The 21,951-nt window shown below is 46.3% G+C and overlaps 1 protein-coding gene across 35 annotated transcripts in view, besides 1 other annotated feature; it reads left to right on the forward strand.

The window, feature by feature from the left end:
• Nucleotides 1-21,951, forward strand: part of NEDD4L (NEDD4 like E3 ubiquitin protein ligase) — a 357,315-nt gene that overhangs the window by 122,307 nt on the left and 213,057 nt on the right. The gene's annotated exons all lie outside the window — the stretch shown is intronic.
• Nucleotides 4,297-5,108: an enhancer, noted in NCBI's record as "H3K27ac-H3K4me1 hESC enhancer chr18:55838061-55838872 (GRCh37/hg19 assembly coordinates)". NCBI's record gives its function as "activates a minimal SCP1, AML or CMV promoter by ChIP-STARR-seq in primed H9 embryonic stem cells {active_cell/tissue: H9 hESC(primed)}" and the evidence as "EXISTENCE:reporter gene assay evidence [ECO:0000049][PMID:30033119]".

Below are 21,951 nucleotides of genomic sequence, written 5' to 3' on the forward strand. Positions count from 1 at the left end.
AGATCTTTTGAACTTTAAACCTGGAATGGACATGAGTGATGTTCTAGTCCAACTTTTCCATTTTATGGTTGACAAAGCTTGAATCCAGAAAGGTTAAACTACCCGTGCAGGTCACGTGGGCCAGTGATGTTTGAGGAGTGACAGGAACACTCCTCCTGCCTCTACCCAGTACATTTTCCTTTGTGGCATGGTGGCCTGAAAATACTGTGAGGTTTAACAATGAAGGCAGGTGACTGGTGAGGAGAGTTCCAGCCACTGGATTCTCCCTCAGTCCCCTGTGCTGTGGCCCTTGGTGACCCCTAGATTTCAGTGCCCCTGCCTGACACTGGAGTCCCTCTATAAAGAAGCCCCTTTCTAGCTAGCTAGCTGTTCCATCCCGCACACCCCCACAGAAGCCTTTTGCTGCCATTAGTAAGCACGCCTCTATTTTCTCACCTGTGATTGATCATGCATGATTGAGTTTTGTCTATTAAAGCAATTGTTAAGTTACTAAAATGGCACCAAAAGAAATTAGAAAAAAATTGTTGCAAATGTCAGTGAAATCTTTTAAAAAACTGTTGTACTTAGAAGTGCCTCAAGTGACTAATGGAGGCTTAGGACTCTGAATGGTGTCACAAGGAACCTTATGCACAGGGACACTGACATCAGCCTGTACTGCTGGTAATGTCAGAGTGAAGCAAATCCCACCTGAAGGCACTCTCTTGCTTGACCGTGAAGTCACACTGAGTGGTTCACCATGTGCCTGCACTCATGCAAGGATAAGCCAGGTCTCTAGGCATGGGCAGAAGGATCCCTGCTTCCCTTCTCTTCCCTTTCAGAGCAACACTTTCAGCCATTTCCATGAGTCTGGGCTCTTGTTACCCAGCTGAAATACTGTTTCCTGAAACTCACAAATTTGCTCTCTACCAAAGCCCACCTTATGCCCTGCCTTTCCATGAAGCCTGTCAAGAAAATTCCAAGAAAGAAAATTTGATATTCCTATATCAAAGCGTGTGTCTTTCCTCTCCTAATCCCTCTTAGCTGCCACAGTAGGTGCAATGTCATTTTAGCTTTTGCAGATGCATTACCTGGTGGTTTCCTAGTATTTCTTTCACTTGCCTCGATTGCTAGATTAGAAATTTACTGGGGACAGACATCTTTTTAATATCTTTCTCCTACTACTTAACATATAGAGCATCAAGGGAAAAAAAAACAAAAATTATCTTTTAAAAATGTAAACATTTGCATGCCAACCGGTAGTGGATTGTGCCCTTAGGTTAAAAATATGTATTCTCACTCTTTCCAATGAAATCTGTAGTGCTGAAGGAGCAAGTTGGATTTAGAAAATTTTGGTGATTTCTTTTTAAGCTTGATTGGGTTTTTATTTTGTTTTATCCAAACCCTCCCATTAAAAAAAAAAATTGATTCACATTGTATTTCTAAGCCAGTTAAGTAGATTTAAGGTTGAATTTGTAGTGGAATTAGGCTCCAAATCTTAGAAGAGCAAATTCGTACCTTGAATTTTTACTGTTTAGATAATAACAGGCAGGGTCATTTCTAAGGGACATGGTGGAAAGGAATATTCGTGATATTAATTAGAAAGATAAATCGTATTGTGGCCAAGTGGACCAAGTGCCAGAAAATGCATCAGAAACTCTGAATCCTGCTTCTGGTCTTCATTTTCCTAGATTGATAAGTAGGCGCACACATTCCTGCTTTCCTCCCTCCTCTGAAGTGCTGTAGTTCTTCAGGGACACATTTGCCAGTGGGTCTGAGATGCAAGTGTGAGGTGGCAGTGTGGGTTAATGCCATCTTGGTGTCTCACTCTGGAGTGGCACTGCTTATTGCCTTAAAATTTTGCCAGATGACCTGCATTCTCCCTCCATGCTATCTTGGGCAAATCCCTTAAAACCACTCATGCCACTGTGTATTAGTGTACAACAAGGATAACAGTTTCTTTGTAACTGGCATGTGGGGAAGAACCGCAAAGTGACTTCTGTCGGCAGCAGCTCTGTCGTGTTTTAAGGTAGTAGTCACCGGGCAGAGGTTTGGTAGTGTCCTCTCTGGCAGCCACCGTCTCCTTCAGAGCCCTGGGCCACTGACATGCCTTTTCTCCAAGTCTCTTCCCTGAGTATTCCCCGCACCTCTGTGCCTGATCAGACACCTCATTCTCCCTTGGCAGCAAGAAGGCCGGGTAGGCATTGGAGCCCTTGCTGTAGACAGGATAATGGGTGAAAGAGGAAGAACATTTTCATGAGAGGCATTTCAGAGCCTTTAAAGTGGTAGAAATCCTGTAGACAATGATGTTTTTAAAATCAGGGATTTGCATCTCTGGGACTCCAACTCCTTTGTTTCCAAGGGAGGTTCCCTGGGCCACTTGGCCTGAGGTTGGGAAGGGGTCGGTGGTTGCGGGGCAGAATGTGATGCTTGGGGATGCAGGATGGTCAGGGGCGGGTGACGGTGGGAGGAGTGGAGCACGTCATCTCTCCTTGCCCTTCCGAGGTGGTGATGGAAGCTGCCTACAGCTCCAGCTCAGAGGCCGGGGGTTTCTGGGGCCCTTGGTGTGGGGCCTCTCTCCTAGCTGGAGGTGGCCCCTTCCCCCTTGAGAGGCCTGTGCCTGAAATGCCCTTGTCCTTTTCGGCCGTCTCGGCCCCAGTCCAGTACTTAGGATCCAAGATCATTTTCAGCTCCTTCCAGCCAAGTCTCACTTTATTAAAGGAGCTTTGTTTGGAGCAGATTGGATAACCGAGCCGCGACTCCACTTGAACATCTGAGCAGTTGGCCCGCGTGGGAAACAGCAATGGCAGAGAAAGATGCTTCCCTTTGGATCATACCTTGAGGACAAAAAAGGGCAGTCATATAATCTGTCATCTAAACTGGGACGCTTTTGTCTGGAATGAATGCGACATTGAATGGGACGTCCGGACATAAGATGTAAATTGAGACTGCAGTCACCCTAGGTCAGAGACATCCAGCCTTTATTATCCATATCATGGGGAAAAAAAAATGGAATGTGATTTTTTTTCCCCAAAACAGCTTAAAAAAAATGCTAAGTAAAAGAAAAAAATAAAAAGCACCTTTTAAAAAAGCAGGCCTCACATAAAATGCCACTAAGACATCAAAAGAGAAGTAAAACCCTGCTCAAAACGCCCACGTGGGGCGGCCACAGCTCACCCTTGTGTGCCTGTGTCCCGTTTCTGCTGTCCCCTTTCCCAAGGACGTACTCTGCCCTAACCTCACCCTGATCTGGTGACTCCTCCAGTGGCCCATCCTATGTTCACCAGCTGGGTCCTCATCTCCTCCGCCACACAGGCTGCTGCTCTGTCCCCCAGCAGACCTCTCCCTGTCTCTGGGGTGCCCATGACCCCTGGGAAGTGCTGTGCATAGTTCTGTGAGTGAGGTTGACTTGTTGTTTTATGCTTAGAATTGTTTCTTTCTCCTGAAATTAGATTTTTCTCCTCTGATGACTAGGATTCTATTTTATTTATTTATTTTTATTTTCCACGACCTATTATAGCACATAGCACCTAACAGGTCCTCAGGAAGTATTTACCAACAGATTGCATGAAGTGAGCCCGTTCTTCCTCCCTCTCTCCTTCCCTCCCTTTCCCACCCCTTCACTGGAAACTCACAGTCACTAAATATGCCATGAAGTTGCTGCCTTTTGCCTTTGCCTGTGTTTTCCCCTCTGCCTGGCATCTGCTCACATCCTTTCTGGCAGCTGCCCTCTCATCTGTCAGGGCCCAGTTTGGGTGGCAACACTCCTGCTGAGGCCCCTGCCCGCCTCATCACCCCAGCCCAAGAGGACAGAACACTGCTGCCCGCCTCATCACCCCAGCCCAAGAGGACAGAACACTGCTGCCCGCCTCATCACCCCAGCCCAAGAGGACAGAACACTGCTGCCCGCCTCATCACCCCAGCCCAAGAGGACAGAACACTGCTGCCCGCCTCATCACCCCAGCCCAAGAGGACAGAACACTGCTGCCCGCCTCATCACCCCAGCCCAAGAGGACAGAACACTGCTGCCCACCTCATCACCCCAGCCCAAGAGGACAGAACACTGCTGCCCGCCTCATCACCCCAGCCCAAGAGGACAGAACACTGCTGCCCGCCTCATCACCCCAGCCCAAGAGGACAGAACACTGCTGCCCGCCTCATCACCCCAGCCCAAGGGGACAGAACACTGCTGCCCGCCTCATCACCCCAGCCCAAGGGGACAGAACACTGCTGCCCGCCTCATCACCCCAGCCCAAGAGGACAGAACACTGCTGCCCGCCTCATCACCCCAGCCCAAGAGGACAGAACACTGCTGCCCGCCTCATCACCCCAGCCCAAGAGGACAGAACACTGCTGCCCGCCTCATCACCCCAGCCCAAGAGGACAGAACACTGCTGCCCGCCTCATCACCCCAGCCCAAGAGGACAGAACACTGCTGCCCGCCTCATCACCCCAGCCCAAGAGGACAGAACACTGCTGCCCGCCTCATCACCCCAGCCCAAGAGGACAGAACACTGCTGCCCGCCTCATCACCCCAGCCCAAGGGGACAGAACACTGCTGCCCGCCTCATCACCCCAGCCCAAGAGGACAGAACACTGCTGCCCGCCTCATCACCCCAGCCCAAGAGGACAGAACACTGCTGCCCGCCTCATCACCCCAGCCCAAGAGGACAGAACACTGCTGCCCGCCTCATCACCCCAGCCCAAGAGGACAGAACACTGCTGCCCGCCTCATCACCCCAGCCCAAGGGGACAGAACACTGCTGCCCGCCTCATCACCCCAGCCCAAGAGGACAGAACACTGCTGCCCGCCTCATCACCCCAGCCCAAGAGGACAGAACACTGCTGCCCGCCTCATCACCCCAGCCCAAGGGGACAGGACACTGCTGCCCGCCTCATCACCCCAGCCCAAGAGGACAGAACACTGCTGCCCACCTCATCACCCCAGCCCAAGGGGACAGAACACTGCTGCTCCTGGGGCTGTAGTGGGTGTACAAGTTCCCTCCTCCTACGGCCCCTTGTCTTAGCGGACTTGGGAGGCTCAGAGGCTCCAGCCCTGTCTTATTGGTGTTTGCAGGTCCAGAAATCTTGGCACATGACAGTTGCCTGGTAAACTGCCTTGAATTCATTGAGTGGAACACAATATGGTGTGCTGTGGCACCTGATGGCCAGCCTGGAGGAAGGGGTACTTTTTTCTCATTGTCATGGAGGTCCCATTGGCTCTTCAAGCATCTCTCCCAAGCATCTAGGAGAGGTGCTTATTTCTCATTCTCACAAAGGCTCTTTGTGGACCAGCACAGGAGGCCTGCCTAGGGCTTGGATGAAAAATGAGCATAGAGAGAAGAGGTTAAGGGAAGCAAGCTCAAGAGTGGGCTCAGAGAAAAGAATCTGGGGGAGTCAATGAGATGGCAGGCAAGGAACAGTCTCCATTTGATGCTGATGTTTGTGCAGAATGACTACTTTATACCGTACAGAAGGAGCACACTCTCTTCTTGTGGTAGGTCCCAGAAACTTCTACTTGGGGGTACATGAGGCCCAGCTGGGATTGGGCACAGAAGGTCATGGCTCTGCACCTGACCCTCACCTTAGGGGTCAGGAGAGAGCCAAGGACACGAGTGATGGGTTAGGGAGGACTCAGGCACCATGGAATACTGTGGCCATCCTTCCATAGAGGAGAGGTACAGGTGGCAAGGCAGGCACCAGGCAGCCGCCGACAGGGTCAGGAACCAAGGCAGGTCCAGGAAACAGAGGCCAAAACAGCAGCAGGAACCTCAGGCTTAGCAGACCACTGACTCTTCTGGAAGTCTTTTAGACGCTCTGTGGTGGGGCAGGGACAAGTCCTTGGTGTTTGGCCATGGTGAAGTGTGCAGTTAGGGTAGGTGAGTCGTGCTTTCTTAACACGGGGGTAAGGAAGGAGGGTAGAGTTTCAGCAGCTCCTGTTTCTTGAGCACTTGCTATGTGCCAGATGTGGTTTGAACTGTTTACATGGGAGCTCGTTGGGTCCTCCCAGCAAAGTCCTATGTAGCAGGCACTGTTGTTCTTTTTGCAGATAAAGAAACTGAGGCAAGAAAGGTTTAGTAAGTTGTAGAGCTAGGTATTGAACCAGGGCCTAACCTCTTAACAGAAGTTAGTTAGAGGCTGTTACTTGAGTGCTCACAGGTTGGCTGGCAATGTGTTTGGAACCCAATGTAATGTCATTAGATTCTGCCTAAATCTTGTGAAGAGGGGATTTCCATTTGATAGGTAAGAAAATTGAGAAGTTATCATCAGCCCGAGATCAAACAAGGGTATAGGGAGTGGTGGGACCTATTAAGTTCAGATTTATGTGACTTCTGATGCTATGCTCAGTGATAGATCTCTTCTTGAGGATAAAAGTTTGAGAATTAGGGTTCCTCGAAAACCCTGAGATTTCTTTTTTTGAGGGGTACCTTTTTGTGTTAGCAGATTTAAAGAGCTGGCCATTGTATTTGATGGTAGCTGAGTAAGCCTTTTGAATTGGAGTATCATCAACTATTACTAGATTTAGAATAGGTATATTTTGCTAAGTAAGATCTTAAAGTTTTTCCTTTAAACTTAGGATAGCTGTTCAAATTTCAAACTCTTCTTTTTTCAGTAAGCTGGAGACATTTAACCTTTTGTCATAGGCTTAAAGCAGTCATTAAACAGGGTCATTTCAATGCAACTTTTTAAACCTAACTCCCCTCCCTTTTTCTCTTTAATTATGATCAGTGGCTTCATTTGAGCTTACCTAGGATGCATTTGAGACTATAAAGCTGCTTTCTTAAAACTTAGCAATGTTGGCTGAGACAAACCAACTGTAGAATCTCATGCTTTCATAAAGAAGGTTGCAAGACATTCATTCACAGTTGCTCCTTTATTGTGTGTGATGAGCCATTGGCATCAAACCTGCTTGGGTTGCTATCAGTTTTTCTTTTGAGAGCTGGTGACTTGCAATTTAAAACACACATGGGCTCAAGGGTATTGGAGGGACATGGCAGAAAGTCCTTCTGCTGCCTAGTGATTGAGAGTGATGGGGTCCTAACTCTGTGTGAGGATAGCTCTTTGACACAGCTCACCTCAGTCCCCTTTACCTAGGTTTAAGTTGTTAGCATTTTGCTGTATTTGCTCCATCTCTTTTTTTCCCTGAAGTATTCAGAAGTGAATTACAGACATCATGACGTTTAGTTCCTAAATACTTCAGCCCAAACCTCTAAAAAACAAGAACATATTTCTATATAACTGTAGTACTGTTCTCACAAAATTAAGACTAATTGCCTAATGGACTCTATTACCTGATCCATTATCTGAACTTCCCCAGCTGACCTTAAAATGCCTTTTACAGCTGGACTGTTTAAACCAGGATTCAATTGAGAATTCTGTATTGCATTTAATCGGTGGGTCTATTAAGACTCTCTTAACCTAGAATAGTGATAAAAGCTTTTTACTCTTGGTCTCTTTGCAAACTGGGGACCCCCAGCCAGCAACACCCCACCTGGGTCTCACTCTACCATGCTGGGGTGCCCTAGCTCACCTGTGTTATAGCTTGTACCTGTGTTCAGTGGTTCCCGAGTTCTTGCATGGCACCCAAGAAGAATGAGGATATGCTGGACATTGAGGGTGAGGAGGGCAGAGTAGAATTTTACTGAGCAATGGAATAGCTCTCGGTGGAGAGGGGCTGCAGTCAGGTGCTTCTCTCCTTCCCGTGTGGCTGGGCCCAGGGCTTTTTATGGGCTCAGAATAGGGGAGGGGCAGGCTGCAGGTAGTATTGGAAAAGGCAACATTTGATTCATTAAAAGGCATTGTTCAGAAAGAATCAATCAGGAAAGGGTGGGCAGACAGGAACAGAAGTTCTCGCTCTGGTTCGTGGGTTTCATCCGGGACCAGCAGTCCAGTCTTTCAGCCTTCAGGCTGTTTTTGGCTCGAAGGTGGGGTTTCACCGGGGACCCGCCCCTATCTGCCCAGGCGTTTGGCTGCTTCCTATCACTATCAATAGTCCCTCCCCTTCAATGACTTGTAGGAAGGTTGTTTCGCTTACCACATTCCATCGTGTCCTGGTGGCATCATCAATGAATGAACATGTTCTTTTCCCCATGTTTCTTGTACGTACTGTGTATTAGAAGTTGGACTAAAGGCTTGATCAAATTTGAGGCAGGAATGGGTGAGGCTACGTGCGACTGGAGGGACACAATGACTGGTTCTGTCATAATCAGTGATTGAAATTGATCCCTGGGTAAATGTGGGGGCAGTCTCATCCCTCCACTATCAAAAATTAACATTTTTTTTCCCCAGGTGACCAGCAAGTAACGAGGGGAGGGGCTGTTTTGGTACTGTATACCTGCAAATTTTAAATATTGATTTACTTTACTTCCAAAGGATTGGAAATTTTGTTTTTTTCTTTCTTTGCCCTTCTTTGAAAACATTGTACAAAGTAAATCTCCTTATTTTACTAATGGAGAAGCTTCTGAAAGAGGCTGAACATACATTGAAGTACCTTTGCTCAGCTGTAAGCCCTTCTGGATCAGAGGTCAGACCAAAGTTTGCAGACAGTTGGTCCCTGTGGACCAGACTGAATCCACACATGAGTTTATTTGGCCTGTGGAGCACTGAAACAAAAAAATGCAAATCCTGAGCCAACGTTTGGGAGATCCCATATTATAATACAAATCGAGATTTCCAGGTTTCTGGAAGGTCTTGGCAATCTAGCCACACTGGGCCTGCATCTGTGCAAGGCTGCATGGCTAGAGGTGTGTGCTGGGCACACCCATTAGGTGGGACTGCGCCTTTCTGGCCACTAGGGACCGTACACCTCCTGTTGTTTTCATGGGGGCTGGTTTCCCTTGCTGACACGTGGCCATGAGGTCCCTCGAGGTACAGGCCGGCATTTGGACTTGTCCTCTGCACTGTTTCTTTGTTAGCATTTAGAACTGACTTCTCCTCTTCCTCCCCCATTGAGGAGCAGCACCTTACTCTGTGCAGAGTCTGTCTGTGATCTGCAGGCTCTTTGCAGAGCTACATTTCTCTCTGGAGGCCTTGCTGAGCAGCCTCCGCTGTCTAGGGCATTGCTGAGAATCACAACATCAACACTAATGGCCCTTGGGCCAAAAAGTGTTTGTCTTAAAATCCCTGCACCAAATAGCTTGTGCAATTACTCCTGTGAGAGCCCCAGAGGATCTAACTCTTAGGCTGTTTGTTCTAGCTGTATTCCTTCCCACCCCCCAAACCGAAATGACATTAAAGGATAGTAACTCCCTCCCGCAAATATAGATAAAAACCTCTTTACTCCCTAACAACCACACAACTATTTACATTTTTGTGTTTACCTCCTAGTCTTTAAGTATATGAATGCATGCAACGTCCTTTAAAAATATGTCAATCCTAGCCTCCACACCACCCAGCCGACCAGGTTTCCCAGAGGGAAGCATTGGAAATGGCAGATGGGTAAATGCACAGAGCTGGCAAATCTCCATCCTGCGGGAGGCTTGCTGTGCAATATAGCCATCGCCACAATAATGGATCTTCCTAATGATCCGGAATCACTGAGCAAAGACTGTGCCATGTTCAGTATACACTAAGTGAGCATGCAGGGAATATATGATCAGTTTACAAACATTTCCACATAAGCTTTTTTCTCTCTCCCACTCCAGTTTTGGTAAATAAAAGAGCAAACTAGACTGCTTTCTTTCTCTCTCTCACTCTCCCCCTGTCTCCCTCCCTCTTCCTCTCTGTCCCTGTCCCTCTCTCCTGCCTCCCTCATTCACTCTGTCGTCCTCTCTCTCTCCTCCTCCTCCTTCCTTCCTTGCTTCATTTCCCCCCTCATCTCTTTCTTCCTCACCCTTTTTAAAAAGAGACAGGAGTCTTGCTCTGTTGCACAGGTTAGAGTGCAGGGGTGCAATCATAGCTCACTGTAACCTCAAACTCCTGAGCTCAAGCAGTCCTCCTGCCTCAGCCTCCCCAGTAGCTGGGAGTACAGGCACACTACCATGCCCAGCTAATTTTTAAAAATTTTTATAGAGGTGTTGTCTTGCTGTGTTGCCCAGGTGGGTCTCAAACTCCTGACCTCAAGTGACCCTCCCGCCTTGGCCTCTCAAAGTGCTGGAATTACAGGTGCAAACCACTGTGTCCAGCCAGACAGGTCACTTTTCTGTACCATTCCCTGATGTTGTGAGATTAGTGAGAGTCCCTACTGTGGAACCTTGTTCACGTTGCCCTGACTCCTGATGCATGGATATTTGCTGTTACCAAAGACACCTCTGCTTTACCAAATGTTTTGACAGAGTGGAAGGAAAACTACAAGACTTCTTGCCCTCGTTTTCTTCAGTCTAGAATGATGCTGGGGTCACTGAGTCTGTAGGGCAGAGAATCTGATGTGTTTTTTAGGAAGCGGAAGGTGTCTGACACATAGATGTTTGACAAATTTTGTTAATCTGGTCAGAGTGCAGCCTAGAAAATTAAATTAAAAAGCTGCTGAGGAGTGCTGGGGTCGCATTTTGACATAGATACAAAGGCACCAATAGGGCCAAAAGTATGAGGCCAGTCCTAGGGCTGGTGAAGTTTGGATCCCCTGCCTGACATTGTGTCCTGAGCCCCTGGCCCCTTCCTGCACCTCTCCCTGAGCCGCCGGCCCCTCCTCATTCCTTCCTCTCCTTTATCTTCCGCTGTCTTTGCCTGTGCCCCCACGCCCGTGCCCTGAATCTGGAGTCTTTGTCTTAGTGCATTCTGTTTGTCTCACTGTCTTCCTCTGTTTTCCTTTTCTTGCGGGGAGGAAGGGTAGAAAGAGTGTAAGAAGCTCAAGTATGAGGAAGGGAAGGTTGCCAACTTGAGATGAGTCAGAAATGAAAGCAGTTCTGAATGTGTAAGACAATGAGGAAAATATTTATTTAACAAAAATTGAACTACCAACCAAGCCTTCAGGAACACAGCCAGAAGGTGCTGTGTAGGGAGAGGTGTGCATTAGGATGCTGGAGCGTGGCTGCCGGCGTCCCCACCCCAGGAGGAAGGGACTCGTTTCTCTGAACCTTTTTAATGGTTCTCCCCATTGTAGACAGGACTGGCTCTCCACCCCATCCTCAGTGGGTGCAGCTTTGGGGAGGCCGTGAGGCTGGTGATCTTGGGGCCTCCTATGCATCTGTGTTATTGAAGGTAACAATGTCCCTTCTACCCAAAAGTCATGCTTTTAAAAACGCACAATCTTGAATCCATTTGGGAAACATCTTTGGAACTCCAGAATGTTGTCTTTCTCAGATATGTATTGCCAATGTTGTATTACTTCATTTGCTAAGAAACATTGTCATCGACTTTATAAAATTATTGAATAATTCTATTTGGGGGAGAAGCCTGGAAGCTAAGATTTTAAAGGTTATTTATAAGTTAAGTGAACTGGCAAATTCTTAAATGGTAAATAAAACCTTTCCTACATGCTATAGGTAGTTATCTAAATCAGGGCCTAACAAGCTTTTTTATTTATTTTCCTGTAAAAAGCCAGATACTAAGTAGTTGAGGCTTTGCAGGACTGATGGTCTCTGACATAGCACTAAAGCAGCCTTGGGCAATACATAAACAAAGGGGCATGTGTGTGAGCTGATGGTCCACGGGCTGCAGTCTGCCAACCTCTGATGTTATAAGCCATTGATTTTCTACAACATATATATTTAGAACTGGGAGTGTCAGTGTTATTTTGTCATGGTTTCCAGATTAAACTCTTTCATATTGCTGCTGGTCGGTCAATGACAGACTAATTCTGCTAGCATTGACTTTCTGGGCCAGGGAATGGGGTTCCTAGATAGTGCAGTAGCTTTTTATTTATTTTCTTTTCCATTCAAGGGTAACATGCTTAAAATACAGCGTATGAAGCTTTTGGATATCCACTGTAAATTTTAAGGTCTAAAAATGAATGCAATTGTGAAATGTTTTTGCCTTAGAGAAAACGCTCTCACTGCTTTGTGTTAATAAATGCATGAAAAATAATGATGAATTAAATGCATACAAACAGATGCAGACATAATTTAGATGAGTGTATTGCAATTAAAATATTGCCCACTTTCGCTACGGAATATTCGTTGGACTTATGACCTTAGTGTAAGTAATGTTTAATAAGGAATCTGCAATGTGTAACTCCTCCGTAAATTATTAAAAGGATTGGCATTCCTACTGTATAATATCAACACAAGGGATAGAAAATATGCCTGGATTCTTAATGAATGTGTGCTAACGTTCCTTCTGGCATAGGAATGTGTAGTAAATACACTTCAAGGGTTGTTCGCATTTTTATCCGTCATTGTTATAGGCATGTTATTGTGTGTCTCCTATTGAAGAACTGATTGATCATTGTTTTAAGCTTCTGTGACTTTTAGATGCTTAAAACTAGGCGTTCATGGTAGGAAAGTAGAGAAACATGTGGAAGAAATACTGCGTTTCAAGTTTGGGAGTGGCTGGTAGAAAAATCAAACTAGGCTAGTCTTACAGCTTTATCGCAGTTTTGTTTTTTTTCCTAGTAGGAAAATGATAGTATTGGTTGTATATTAAAACACTCTCTCTGACACTGACTTGAATCACGTGCGAGTTCATTGAGAACAGGGATTTTAACTTGGTTAGGTGATTTTAAACATTATTTAGCAAATCTGGAAAACAAAAGAGAAATTTTCAAATATCTTTCTTCCACGGTGGTGTACTGGCTCTCTGGAGTGTGATTTCATCTTCTCTTATTATTGCATATGTAGTCAAGCCATCATGTTCTTGAAGTGAGACTTCACCCACTAGTGGGGCCGTATAATTCAGGATCTTTTGTTTGTCCTTACATAGTTTCTTGGCCTGGAATGTCAAAATATCAGAAACTGTTCTTTCTCTGGAATCATCTGTCTCCGTGATGGCCTCGCCATCTGTACAGTCATCCAAGCTAGGGACCAAAGAGTCGTCCTTTACTCTCTCATCCTTCCGGCTGCTGTGTCTGGCTTTCAGTGTTTGTGTAGAGCAGGGGTCTCCAACTCCTGTGGCGTGTTAGGAAGTGGGCCGCACAGCAGGAGGTGAGCCATGGGTAGGCGGGCAAAACTTCCTCTATTTACAGCTGCTCCCCATCATTCGCATTGCTGCCTGAGCTCCGCTGCCTCTCGGATCAGCCACCAGCATTAGATTCTCATAGGACCATGAACCCTATTGTGGAACTTTGCATGTGAGGGATCTAGGTTGCACACTCCTTATGAGAATCTAACGCCTGATGATCCGTCACTGTCCCCCATCACCCCTAGATGGGACCATCTAGTTGCAGGAAAACAAGCTCGGGGCTCCTACTGATTCTATATTATGAAGAGTTGTATAATTATTTCATCATCTATTACAATGTAATAATAATAGAAATAAAGTGCACCATAAATGTAATGCCCTTGAATCATCTCCAAACCATCCACCCCACTCCTCCAACCCCCAAACCAGCCTGGAGAAAAATTGTCTTCCACAAAACCAGTCCCTGGTGCCAAAAAAGTTGGGGACCGTTGGTGTAGAGGACTCCTCAAGCAGCGTCCATATCTGCCCTATTCTCTCTATTCCTCCACCTAGGTATAGAATTCTATCTCTAAGACACAGACAGACCATGTTCCTGCCTGGGCAAACACTTCGGTGACTGTGCATTGCCCTGGGTGAACGGGGGCACAGAGGTCTTTGTGACGCCCTGCAACGCATCCCTCTCCGAGCCGCGGTGCGCTCTTCCTCCTCTGTGCCTTGCCGGTGCCCAGAACCACCCCCTTCTCCCTCTTTGCACAAGTGCCTTGCTCTCTCCTTTCTCAGGCCAGTGCTGCTGATCTGTCTGTGTGACCCGGGTGCACAGTCCTTGGCTCTGTGCCTGGCCCTGTGCAGGTCTCTGTGGTGGCACTTAGCACATGGCGCTAAGATTCTCCCTGATAGGCCTTCAGCGCCGCAAGGGCCAGCACCGAGTCCTGCACATCCTGCTCTAGTCCCACATCGGCCCAGGGGCGTTGAGCTGAGGACAGCTCCCTACCCCCTTTCTGTGCTTGGCCGACTCCAGCGCCCGTTCTTCTGCCCCTCCTTGGCTCTGCCTCCCCACCCCTTGGCTGAATCTCTCCTCCTTTCGTGCTTGTTCTCCAGGTGACTTATTCAGGTCCATATTTTCATTACCCTTGCATTTCATTAATTTTCTCATTTATTTTATTCTGTAGGTTTAGGACATTCTTTAAAACATGCAGGTTCTGAATTTTAATAATATAAAAGTCCTCTGTGAGTGCCCATCACATTGCTTTTCTGTCCTCCCTACATTAAAGTTAGCACTGATGCCTTTATGTTTAAGGAAAGCCTCCTGCAGAGGGGCTCTGCCCATGTAAGTTCATTAGAAGGCAGGTGTACAGCCTCTGTCACCTGAAGACCTCTTAACTGTCTATTCCTTCTCTGGTCTATCGAGGTGTATTGGGGGGGTTACAGCACCCTCTGGTGGCCATATTGTCAGGTGCATTTTTGTTCTAGCCAAATAAAATGATAACACAAATCGAATAGTCGATTGGAGTTCTTTTTCAGAGGACATCGTTAATTCACATTTTGTGTGTTTCAGCAGGTATTTAAGCCATTCTCGAATAGTGACACTTATGCAGAGGAGAGAATGATTTTATTTAAGTAATTTCTACTTTTTACATAGCTAGTTTTAAAGTAGATAATACATAGTCTTAAACTTTATTTCCCCTTTATTTCTTTCTTTTCTGTTAGAGAATTTCTTAAACTTGTAGAATTATCCAAATAAAATGCCAGTCACTAAAAAGGAATAATTAACCAATAGTGGGAAAAAATTAAATTCTTCAAATGAAGAGTACTGTATTCATTTCATATGGTCCCAGAGATAAAATGTTTAGGATTCATTTTTAGTTTTAAATGTTTATGAATCAGAGCTTCAACACTCTTCCAGGTTTCTTTAAGAAAGGAATTTGTCTATCTACGGATTAATTAATTAGCAGAGCCTCTCTGTGTCACCAAGACTGGAGTGCAGTGGTGCGGCTGTAGCTCACTACAGCCTTGAACTCTTGGGCTCAGGCAACCTTCCCACGTTAGACTCCCAAATAGCTAGACCATGGTGCATGCAACCATGCCCAGCTAATTTTTTTTTTCAATTTTTCTGTAGATACAGGGATCTCGCTATATTGCCCAGGCTGGTCTTGAACTCCTGAAGGCCTCAAGCGATCCTCCTGTCGTGGCCTAAGAAAGGAATTCCTCATATAGAAAAATATTGTTATATAAATAGTTGCCTATATCCATGCTGTTTATGGTAACAGCTAAGGTTCATCTCAAAAGTATTTGTATTTGGCTTTGGAATAAAAAGAAATTTCCCCTTTCATAGGGTTCTGAGATTGTAGGAGTTTTTAGTATTTCAAAAAGTTAATGGAACAATCTGTGATGTGAAAGAGACTCAGAAGAGGCTAGAGAGGTCTTTAACACATTTTTTTTTTGTATTGTTATCCCTTCCCTATAGCTAACTTTGTAGATGACATTGTTTTTCAGACTGATGATTGTGACCCTCAACCATGGCAGCAACAATTTTTAATTTAAATTTTTTAAAATGCAAGGTTGGGTGATTTTCTCTCTGGATGCTTGAGTTTTGTTTTTGATAAAAATTCTACCAGGGGCAGGGGAAAGAGTCCATTAAGTCTTGGTGCAAGAAACCTGGGCAGATTGCCTAAGTGGATATGCATAGCAAAGAACTGAAAACAGAGTAGGGGGTGCTGAAAACACCCACAGAGGAAAATGCGGGGCGGGGGGTGAATGCATCTGCTCATTTTGTAATAAAGTCCTTCCTTTCCTTTAACATCTCTTAATGTTACAAATACCAACAAAAACCATGCATGTCTTCAGTGGGACAGAAAATGAGGGAGGCATTTAGGGAGAAAAAAGTGTCAGTTGAGATGATGTTAAAATAAAGTTTATTTTCTTTGCAGTTGCAGACATTAAGATTTATTCTCTGGGCTGTTAGGACAGTTCCTGCAGCTCTCTGTGGTGACCTGAGCATTGATACCTTTTTTTTTTTTTTTTTTTTTTGAGATGGAATCTTCCTCTGTCTCCCAGGCTGGAGTGCAGAGGCGCAACCTCAGTTCACTGCAACCTCAGCCTCCCAGGTAGCTGGGACTACAGGCACCTGCCACCACACCCAGCTAATTTTTGTATTTTTAGTAGAGATGGAGTTTCACCATGTTGCCCAGAGTGGTCTCAAACTCCTGTCCTCAAGTGATCTACCCACCTTGGCCTCCCAAAGTGCTGGGATTACAGGCGTGAGCCACTGCGCCTGGCCTGTGCCTTGGTTTCTCAGATATTTCTGCCCCTGTAGTGTTCTATGCACTATGCAGGGAGGTCCTGACTGCTCAGAGCTTAAATTCTGCATTCCTTTATTTTAAGTGTTTGGCCAACTGCAGAGGAAGGTACCTTGAAAGATACTCCCTCTCCTCCCTCACTGCTGGGTCCCCTGTCATAGGAGACCTGGCCTGAGGAGGCTTCTTCCTGGTAACCTGGGTTGTCACTGGGACCACATCTTCCCATAAGAATAATGCTTCAGGTTGTATGGGAGAAGTGTCTGACAGCAGTAACTTCAGCACACCCTGAGAATGGCCCTTATGGCAGACACACCGGACAGCAGTCACTGAAGAAATGAGGGTTGCCACATGGAGGTTGCTGGGAGGAGGGTGCTAAGTGAAGGTGCTGTATAAGCTGCATGCTTTTTACAAGCAGTTGAAGTTCTGCTGTCCAGCCCAGAGCCACTGGGCCACCCTATAAATAAGTTCCTCCAAATAAACCCTGTGCCTTGTTTGTTAGCTCTGGGTCTCTTCTTTGGCTTCTTCAACTTGGTGCTGTCCCTGTTGAAGTTAATACGGGTTTGGCACAACACAGGAGTAGACGGTTACCTGTACCCTGCCAGCTGTCCTTGCTACAAACATTTGCCCAGAGAGTGGCATTTGTGCCGGTTCTTAAAGTGTTTCTTGAGCTGCACATTAATAGGCCATGTCCTCTTTCAACCTGCCCTCTGGCTAGGTAGAACAAACACTCTTCACCTGGGCTCTGAGCCAGCTGCTCACCTGCAGCACCCCCCTCCTTGGAGATAGCTTTTCATGTTGCATCTTACCGAGTTGATTGAGTATTCACTTCGAAGCTCCATGCTGCACGCATGGGCCTGTAAATAGCTTTTTCGTGCACTTGTGGGTGTCATTTCAGATCGCTTCATCGGATTTCAGTTACCCAAGTTTTTACTTGGTTCACCGTAAGTTTGCAAAAAAGACTTTTTGTTATCCTGAACATTGCAGGTGGAAACATGATTAATTTTGAATTATTTTTGTTTAACTTCTACCCTCTTTCCTATTTACAGCCTATTTTGTTTATTTTAACTTCCGCTGTTAAGACTTCTAAGGCCAGGCATGGTGGCTCACGCCTGTAATCCCAGCACTTTGGGAGGCCAAGGCGGGCGGATCATGAGGTCAGGAGATCAAGGCCATCCTGGCTAACATGGTGAAACCCCGTCTCTACTAAAAATAGAGAAAATTAGCCAGGCGTGGTGGCGGGTGCCTGTAGTCCCAGCTACTCAGGAGGCTGAGGCAGGAGAATGGCGAGAACCTGGGAGGTGGAGGTTGCAGTGACCCGAGATCGCGCCCCATTACTTAAAGGAAGTGGGCTTGTGTTTTGTGGCCTTAAGGATGTAATCTGTTGGTAGGAGGGAATGAGGGTGTCCTGGTAGGGGTGTCTGGCTTTAGTGTCACCATTCTTTTAGGAATTGCCATGTTGTGGGGTCACGTCTTGTAGGAGAAACGTTCTGAAGTCATGGGATTCTCTACCCTCCTCTCCTGCTCTTGGTTTCCACCAGCAGCCTGCTTGGTGTGGTTTTGAAATGGAGCAGAGATGGTTTTGATGAGCCTCACTGGAGGTGCTGCTGAGATTACCGAGAGGCCTTGCTGGGCACCTGGAGTCAATCATGCCGGGCACTAGCATCCGTCATCTTAGGAGGTAGGGATTATTATCCTACCTCCTAAGCCATCCCTGGAGTGGTGGCTTGGAGAAGTTTTCCAGAGAAACCGATCAGTTCATAAAGTTTCTGTAAAGGATTAACACAGTGTAGTCCAGAAATGTTTGTTCATGAAGTCTTGGTTTTTGGGTTTAAGAAAGTGTTCTCCTGTCTGGGCGTGGTGGCTCACGCTTGTAATCCCAGCACTTTGGGAGGCTGAGGTAGGCGGATCACGTGGTCAGGAGATCGAGACCATCCTGGCTAACACGGTGAAACCCCGTCTCTACTAAAAATACAAAAAATTAGCTGGGCATGGCGGCGGGCGCCTGTAGTCCCAGCTACTTGGGAGGCTGAAGCAGGAGAATGGCGTGAACGCAGGAGGTGGAGCTTGCAGGGAGCCGAGATGGCACCACTGCACTCCAGCCTGGGCGACAGAGCGAGACTCCATCTCAAAAAAAAAAAAGAAAAGAAAAGAAAGTGTTCTCCTAAGTGCTGCTCACCCTTTTTCCCAAACAGGACCTAACCCTGCGAGGGAGGGTGAATTAGGCCATTTGTTTACAGTTTCATCAGCACCAGGCGTGCACGGCGTTAGTCATGGTCCTTGCTCTCAAGGCACTGTACTTGTAGCAGCAGTATGGTGCAAATGTGCAGCTGAACAGTGGGCACAGGTTCCTGGTTAGCATTTAGTGCCACAGGAATGACAGGGAGGTCTTAATTGTGATCGGACCGTGGGAGCTGGATTACCCCAGACTGTAGCTCACTTCCCTGTAAGCTTTTGGTAGGGAGCTTGGAATTAGCACCATTAGTAGAAACAGATTTCAAAGGGAATGGTACCTGTTCCGTATGAAACACTTTAAAACTCCCGGTGTCCACACGTCTTTAAAAAAGAGGCTTAAAGCAGTTTCATTTCATCAACCCCAAACTGGAGAAGCTATGAATGACCACACTGATGAATATGTCCTAAAATATATGTATATTATATAAAGTGTAAAAACAGACAAGCAGGAACATACTACCAGTTTCTATCACAGCTACCCTTAAACTATCATTGGAGGGCAATTAAGTGGGTACAACCTCTAGCTATTTGGAAATATGTATAAAAATGACAAATGCCTGGTTGGGTGCTGTGGCTCACGCCTGTAATCCCAACACTTTGGGAGGCCTAGGCGGGTGGATCACCTGAGGTCAGGAGTTCGAGACCAGCCTGGCCAACATAGTGAAACCCCATCTCTACTAAAAATACAAAATTAGCCGGGTGTGGTGGTGCATGCCTGTAATCCCAGCTACTCGGGAGGCTGAGGCAGGAGAACCGCTTGAACCCAGGAGGCAGAGGTTGCAGTGAGCCAAGATCGCGCCATTGCACTCCAGGCTGGGCAAAAAGAGCAAAACTCTGTCTCAAAAAAAAAAAATTAAAATTAAAATTAAAAAGTAAAATAAAATGATGAATGCCTGTACTCTTAGACCCAGCACTCCCAGTTCTGCCAGTTCATGCAGCAGATACATATGCACACGTACAGAGAAGGATGCAACAGATACATATGCACACGCATACAGAGAAGGATACGTATGCACACGCGCACAGAGAAGGATACATATGCACACGCACACAGAGAAGGATACGTATGCACACGGGAACAGAGAAGGATGCACAAGAACATACATTCCCTAGTTGACGGAGTCGCAGATTAGAAACAACAGAAAAGCGTCCATTAAACAACAGTTTGAACCTGTGTTGAGATATCAGCATCCCTTCTCCTTCTCTCCCCCACTCCCTCTGCCCTCTGCAGGTTTTATTCTCAGCCTGATTTTCTCCATTGGATGTCAGCCCTAGGCTGGCATTTGCAGAGAGAGATGGTGGCTCCTGCAGAGCTTACGGCCTGTATTTTATTGGGCTGTGTTGAGTTACCCCTGATGTGAGCAGGAGAATGGGATGTTCTGTAAATTGGCCTCTAGCCCATCGTGAATTCATATTTTTTTTATAATGTGTGAGTCACACTCCCTTCTGTCTTCATTTCCTTTTCACACTCCCAGCAGATCATTCTCTCTATTCTGATTGGCATTTTATACATGAGGCAGCAGAGGCTGAGACCTACTGTATTTTGAGACACTGTAGCTTTATATGGCATAATTAAATCATAGTCATCAATCACTCTTAGGAGGTAAGGATTATTATTGGCATTTTCCAGATGAGAAAAATGGAGGATGAGAAAGGTTAGGCATCTTGCTGAAGTCACAGCAGACTTAAGTGCCGGAGTTGGAGCTGCATTCCGGTATGCTTGCATAGACTCTCTTCTCATGCTCACTGCACGCCAGTCACCTGGTATGCTGAGGCCCTGCCTCCAGGCCTTCTGATTCAGCTGGTCTGCAGCCCTGGCATTTCCAGCTCCTCAGGTGATTGGAATGAAAGCCAGAGCTGGGAGCCACTGGTCTACACCACCAGTAAATGATCGGGTTCTCACTTGATCATTTAATTAAGAATCTTGGTTTTCTGCTTTCAGTCTGAGAACTCTTGTTCATGCTCTCAGGCATGTCTTCACGCAGGAAAGTGATCTTTGAAATTAATAGGTGCTTGGAAAGCCTTTAAGCAGCAGGCAGTGGAGAAGGCCACTCAGTAGGAAGGGCCGAGCATGAAGCCTAGTGCACAGGCTTTTCAAGACCCCACGGAGGGTCTTCAGAAAAATGGGTTTCCTTTGTCTCCGTGGCTTCCAGTCTTTGTTGGCCAGCAGTTGTCTGCTTCAAATGAGCTGGCTCTAGAGGGGCCTGGAGAACCCAGAAAAACTTTGTGACAACCTGACAAGTTTGTGTTAATCTTCTGGGCATTGGCTTTCTGCACTTATTGCTCACTGAATCACTGAACCAGGCAGGTGGGGTACTGGAGGGCAGGGGATGGGTAAGAAGGGCAGCCTTTGGAAGGAAAATCAGCAGAGGGCAGGGACCGGGGAAGAAGGAGTAAGAAGGGAAACCCTTTTCTTAGGTTCTTATAAATCAGAAGAGCAATAAAGAAAAAATTTAAATCTAAAAAATACATGATTAGGATTTAAATCCAGTATGCTTCACTACATATAAACCTTTGACTTAATATTTTCTGTAGTAGATGAAAATAGGACTTTTTTTGTTTCCCTTCTCTTCACATGGTATTGAGTTTTTTTGTGTTCTGAATACGTGTTAAGATTAATTATGAAAATCAAATTACCAGATACTTGAAATATAAAATTAGTAATATTCAAAGACGATTAAATGCACGATTTCCTTTTCTCATAAAAAAAGAAGCAGACGGAACTTGTATTCTGAAAGCAAATATGGAAATCACATTAAACATCAGAAAATCCTCACCACCGCCCCCCACCCCCATGTGCATTTCATTTCTCTTTGGTCTGAGTTCAAGGGAGAGAGAATATGAATGTGCTGCTAGCTCAGGAAGCTTCAGTTCTAACTTTCTAAAGAGCTGGGAATGTGCTTGAGTCTCTGTTATCTCTTGTTTGCATTTTTCGCTACTTTGCCTCCATTTGATCCAGGGAAAACTTCATGGTAGGGATGTGAGATGTATTTTGAGGGCTAAAAGAAAGGAGTTTGAACAAAAGCAGGACAGTGTTCCGAATGTGGAAGCAAAGAGTCCTTCCAAGGGGATGTGCGGCCAACGCCTCTGTTCAGCGATAGTCCAGCTGAGACCAGGACCTGTGCCTGATGCCCAGGCCACCCCACAGGACGGTCCTCCAGCACCTCATTTCTCCTTTCATCAGACACCTCTTCACTGGCCTACTGGGAGAAAACGGAGATGAGTGAAAATGTGCATACAGAACATAGGGCTCAAAGGGACCCTAGCACCAGTGGTGCTCAAGCCTGTCCCAGCATTAGCGTCACCTGGGAGCTCCAAAAACATATTGTTGCCAAGACTCAGTCCAAAGCAAGTGACTTCCTTGGCCTGGAGTGAGATGTGGGTGGCCAGGGTCAGGAACCACCGAGTGGGTCCACCTCTGCAGACTGGGAAACAGAGTCTGGGAGGCTGC

This window comes from Homo sapiens, chromosome 18 (genome assembly GCF_000001405.40).
Source record: "Homo sapiens chromosome 18, GRCh38.p14 Primary Assembly".
Classification (NCBI taxonomy): domain Eukaryota; kingdom Metazoa; phylum Chordata; class Mammalia; order Primates; family Hominidae; genus Homo; species Homo sapiens.